This window comes from Homo sapiens, chromosome 3 (genome assembly GCF_000001405.40).
Source record: "Homo sapiens chromosome 3, GRCh38.p14 Primary Assembly".
In the NCBI taxonomy this organism is placed as follows: domain Eukaryota; kingdom Metazoa; phylum Chordata; class Mammalia; order Primates; family Hominidae; genus Homo; species Homo sapiens.
The window spans coordinates 190,170,215-190,171,684 of record NC_000003.12 but is presented as its reverse complement, the minus strand read 5'-3'; positions in this window follow the sequence as shown (position 1 = coordinate 190,171,684).

Genomic DNA, 1,470 nt, shown 5'->3' with positions numbered 1-1,470 from the left:
CATTCTTTCTATTTTTGTTTTATTCATTAACCATTTCCACCTCCCCCATACCCTCACTACCTTTCCCAGCCTCTGATAATCATCCTTCCACTTTCTATGTCCATGAGTTCAATTGTTTTGATTTTTAGCTCCTACATGTAAGTGAGAACATGAAGTGTTTGCCTTTCTGTGCCTGACTTATTTCACTTAACATAAATATGATCCAGCAATCCCACTGCTGGGTGTATATATATACTCAAAAGAAAGGAAATCAGTATCGGTATATCAGAGATAACTGCACTCTTAGGTTTGTTGTAGCACTGTTTACAATAGTCAAGATTTGGAAGCAACCTATGTGTCCATCAACAAATGACTGGATAAAGAAAATGTGTTACATATACACAATGGAGTACTATTCAGCCATAAAAAAGAATGAGATCCAGTCATATGAAACAACATGGATGGAACCAGAGACCACATATTCTTTTTATACTATGCAATAAATAAATTTTTAAGTGATGTGGAACTTTTTATGTATAGTTTTTTGTTGTTTTTGTTTTGAGATGCAGTCTCACTCTGTCGCCCAGGCTGGAGTGCAGTGGCACGATCTCGGCTCACTGCAAACTGTGCCTCCCGGGTTCACGCCATTCTCCTGCCTCAGCCTCCTGAGTAGCTGGGACTACAGGTGCCCGCCACCACGCCCGGCTAATTTTTTTTTTTGTATTTTTTAATAGTGACGGGGTTTCACCGTGTTAGCCAGGATGGCCTCAATCTCCTGACCTCGTGATCCGCCCTCCTCGGCCTCCCAAAGTGCTGGGATTACAGGTGTAAGCCACCGTGCCCAGACTATGTATAGTTTTGTATCTGTCTTCTCATTAAAACATCATAAAGAAATATTATGCACATATTACAGAAGAAAATGGAGGCTGCTCAGAGATCAGAATATATTGCCCAAGATTACAGATAATCAGAGAGTAACAGAGCTAAGACCAGAAGACTAACGTTCTCTCTACAAATAATTAGAACTAATGTATATGTAACATTTACTATATGCCAGGCACACTTCTAAGATTTTTATTGGTGTTAACTCCATAAAACATTACATTATCTCCATAAGATAAAGCCACTATTATTATTTTTCCCTTTATGCATGAGAAAACCGAGGCACAATGAGGTTAATTGACTCATCAGATGTCACTGAGCTAATAAGTGACTAATTTTGCATTATTAACTTCTAAGCATGGTATTCTGCTTTCCAAAATACATACGCTGCCTCAGGTGTAGAGATAAAAACATTTTAAAATGACAGCCATTGAAACTATAAATGGTAGTAAAATCAAAAATTATAATGTTATATTAATTAATAAAATTGGTTAATATGTTTTTCTTACTGCCGTCAACTCTCTTAAGATGATATGACTATTCTCCATCACCTGATATTCTGGCCAAGAACAATTAACACACAATGATCCTTCTTTCAAGTATATTACC